The sequence below is a fragment of the Homo sapiens genome, chromosome 6, assembly GCF_000001405.40.
Source record: "Homo sapiens chromosome 6, GRCh38.p14 Primary Assembly".
Classification (NCBI taxonomy): Eukaryota; Metazoa; Chordata; class Mammalia; order Primates; family Hominidae; genus Homo; species Homo sapiens.
The window spans coordinates 3,519,400-3,523,731 of record NC_000006.12 but is presented as its reverse complement, the minus strand read 5'-3'; positions in this window follow the sequence as shown (position 1 = coordinate 3,523,731).

Sequence of the window (4,332 nt, the reverse complement as noted above, 5' to 3'; positions counted from 1 at the left end):
TTTCGTTGCTAATCCTTCATCAGGTATATGTGTGGCAAATATTTGGCAGCTTGTCTTTTTCTGAACACCGGAGAGATGTGTTAGTGTATCTCTCTGCTAACATCTGCCTGGGATGATTGATCACGTTTGTGCCAGACAGAAGGTCAAGAGCTAGGTTAGGACCCAAGACAGAGTCTGAGGAGGAAGGGAGGAATGTGACTCTAGTGAACAGGGTAGGGCATTGCAGAGGGAGGGTAAAGTCCCAGCACTTGGCTTACGTTCCTTCCAATGGATCTGGCAGGCACCTCTTACTGTCTCTGCCAGCAACCTCCTCCGCCTGCATGGTCCGGCCATAATAAACCACCTTTCAGATCTCAGGATTTGCCATGATCTCTGCCTCAGGCCTTTCCCCATGCCATTCTCTCTACAGGGGTTCCACTTCTAAACCCTTCCCAGCCTGCTCTGTCCAGAAAATCCTGCTGGTCCTTTAGTTCTTTCCTGGCGTCCTCACCTTTGGGGGCTTCCCAATCACATCAGGACCCAGTAAGATCCCAGTTAGAATCCATCCCCAAGGCTCCTGTGGGAATCTTAACTCATCCCAGCTGAGACTCTCACCTTTTACTCATCAAAAAACTATGTGTTTGTCCAGATAGAGCCTTAACTTCATTGGGTAATGCTTTCTACATTCCACACATTGTCATGCTCGATGTCTAGCTATGTGACAAATTTTTTAAAGAATGAAATGACTTGATAAAGGCAGTTTGGAATGCACTGACACTTTTTAATTCGGCTTCCCAGACCTAGTATAAATATAGTCATTTTAAAATCAACATTTGCATGGTAAATCTAGCATTTTTTGTATAAGACACAAGAGACTTTCAGCTGAAGTTAGAACTTTCATAATCTGTATTTCACTCCGAGGAGGACCTCACAGACGACCACCTGTGGGTGGTGCCCTGACAGCAGCAGCCCAGACCCGGATCGCTGTTGGAGGAGGGCCACCCTGGCCCCTCACTGGACTATGATGTAATTGCAAGGCAAACCTTGATTGTGTTAAGCCTTTATCACAATCAGTATTCATTTATCTCATTTCCCTTGTTAAAACAACCTCCTTTTGGAATTGGCTTTGAAATCTGTTTGGAATATGTTCAGTGCTATCCAACTATTATCCTTTGAATATGAATGAACTGATCCAGTCAGTTCAACAAATATGTGTTGAGCACCTAGTATATTCTAGGTAGAATGACAGGGGCTGGGAAACATAACAAGAAAAGTCTCTGCTCTGCGTGAGCTCACAGTGTGGTGCACACAGCAGCGCTTCTGCATCCAGCAATTCCTCTAAGGCTGGGCGCAAGAAGTGGCCGCAATGACATCAAGTAGAAAAACACTTGAGTTTTAAGTCATAAAGCTTTTTCCTTGGAAAACACTGTAAACAAGAGTAACTGCTATCCTGTCAGTGGAAACGCATGTTAAATCCATAAGCATCCAAACGACAATACTGAATAGCTCCATTCTCTGACTGAGAGGCCCTACTTCCTAGCTTTGGATGAGCTGTGACGAGCCTGCTGGAGGGGCTGCACAGTCTGCAGAGGGAAGTGACATGCTTGGGACTCTTGGTGCCTCAAGATGATTCCTGGGTTGGGCTGTTGAGTTGTTCAGTTGTCGAGTGTCTTTTGGTAAGCAATAGGCCTCTTTTGTGCTTCTATACTCCCCATGTATGAACCAAAGAAGAGGATAAACACCCTTATGCTGTGATATGGTTTGGATCTGTGTCCCCGCCCAAATCTCCAGTCAAATTGTAATCCCCAGTGTTGGAGGAGGGGCCTGGTGGGAGACGATTGGATCATGGGGACGGATTTCCCCCTTGCCGTTCTTGTGATAGTGAGCGACTTCTCACAAGATCTGGTTGTTTAAAAGTGTGTGGCACCTCGCCAGCCCGTTTTTCCTGCTCCAGCCATGGAAGATGTGCCTGCTTCCTCTTCGCCTCCTGCCATGATTGTAAGTTTCCTGAGGCCTCCCCAGCCATGCTTCCTGAATAGACTTTGGAACTGTGAGCCAATTAAACCTCTTTTTTAAAATAAATGGCCAGTCTCAGGTACTTCTTTACTGCAGTGCGAGAAAAGACTAATACACGCTGTATTACCAGGCTGTGTAAGGATAACACAAGGATGAGAGCAGCAGGCTGTGGGCTCAGAAGGTTTGTTGTGATGAATAAATCATGGTAAATATTGATGACAGTAGGGCTCTCATGGCACTCACCTTATTAGGTTTTAAAAACATTCCTCCCCCAAATGGCATATACGGGAAGAGTGAGAAGGTTAAACTAATGGAGAAATGGGTTAATATGAAGACTGCCCTATTGGGATAAAGAAAACAGTTCACACAAATAGAATCATCTCAGGGTAAAGGCTGAAGCCGCCAACTGATTCCAGACCCTGCTTCAGACACTGCCTGTGGCATCCCCAGCTAGCTCTGACAACTGTGTTTATCTGATGAAATGTAATAGACTTGCCTGGCTCAGACTCACAAGCACACTGCACGGTGCCGCGTGGTCTGCAGTCCCACTGCAGGGTCCATGCTTCCACTCTGGGCACCATTCATAAATCCCATCACCTCACCCTCTCCTTGAAGGAAGGCCGAGCGTTTCTGGGCTCCAGTTCCATGGTTCCTGTGTCATACATAACATAGGATCAGATTGATTCTAAGCTACCTTCCAGCTCAAGCATTCTAAAATTCCAGTCATAAGGAATTTCCCAACAACAACAAAGTAGAAGAGCGTAACCACAAAAAGTACATTTCAAAAATCAGTAGCCAAGGAAAGAAGCATTAGATTCTGGAGCGGGGCCCGAGTCCCAGCCCAGCACAGCAGGGTCTTCAGCAGTCTGCTCCCCATCTCCAGAAGCCCTACTGGTGACCCTCCAAACCCTGAGGGCCAAGCTCAGAGGAGAGCTTTCTTTCACTCCTCTTCTGACCAAGGAGCTGGGGAATCCCCTGTGAGGACTAAGTAGTTGCATCAGGGAAGAGATCTGAACCCTCCAGTTTCCCCATGGGAATGGGGTCTGCCCTTGGGCAAGACAGAGCTGGTCCTAGTACTGGACACTTAACAAAATTTCCTTTCATGAAAGAAAGTCCAGATAGACCAACAAATATATCAAATCAGAGTGACTGAATTCTTTCCTTTTATCTTTGCAATCCCCTAAGCCAACAGAAAGGGAAACAGTCTTCAGACTGCTCATAGAGAAAAACAGCTTGGCCTCGAAGGAGTCATGTCAAATTACTCTAACTCAGAGCAGACAGAATGTCTGGGGAGAGCTACCCAAGCATATGTTAGATGCAAAGAATGGCTGAGCAATTATGCAAACATATAGCCAAGGAAAGGGAAGAAGGAAGGAAGGGACAGAGGGAGGAAAGGAGGGAGCGAGGAAGGGAGTGGGGAGGAGGAAAAGGGAGACTGTAGACCTAAGGAAACAGGTGGTGAGCAATGAATCTATTGAAATATACAACATATGTTACACGCCAATAAGAATTATAGCTCTCAAACGGAATGTGATCAGTCACATAAACCTGGTCAATGTGAAAATGTCTGTTTTCGTTCCCTAGGGCTGCCATAACAAAGCACCGCAGACTAGCTAGTTTTAAAGCAACAGAAATTTATTGTCTCACAGCTCTGGAGGCTGGAAGGCAGATCAAGGTGTCGGCTGAGTTGGTTCCTTCTGGAGGCTCCAAGGAAGAATCTGTTCCAGGTCTCTCTCCCAGCTTCCAGCAGTTGCTGGCAATGCTTGGCATTCCTTGGCTTGTAGCTGCATCACTCCAACATCCCTTTGTCTTCATGTGGCTTTCTTTCCTCTGTGTATCTGTGTTCAAACTTTGCTCTTATGAGAACATCAGTCACTAATTTAGGTCTCACCTCAATCCAGCCTGACCTCATCTTAACTCAAGGACTTCTGCAAAGACCCTATTTTCCAAATAAGACCACATTCACAGGTCTCGGGACTAGAATTTGAGAAAACCTTTTTGGGGGATTCAGTCCAACCAACTCTAACATAACTTACTAAAATTGAGACGAAGAGGAGGGGAAATGAAAGCCACATGAGAATGCCAGTATCCTCTTCTTTCTTTGGAAAGAGACAATTGCTTTGTTCTAAAATTGAGATGCATATTGTATGTGTATGTGCATGCATGCATATATAAAATCCCAACCTGTTCATGTTATCTGCAATCTCTTTCCTTACCCTTAGAGAAATAATATCCTTTGTGGTAAAGAAACATTCACTTAAGGCTCAACAGCTTCGGTTTATTTTTGGTCTTTTACAAAATAAATAAAATTTAAATGTAATGATTTTTATTCTTTTA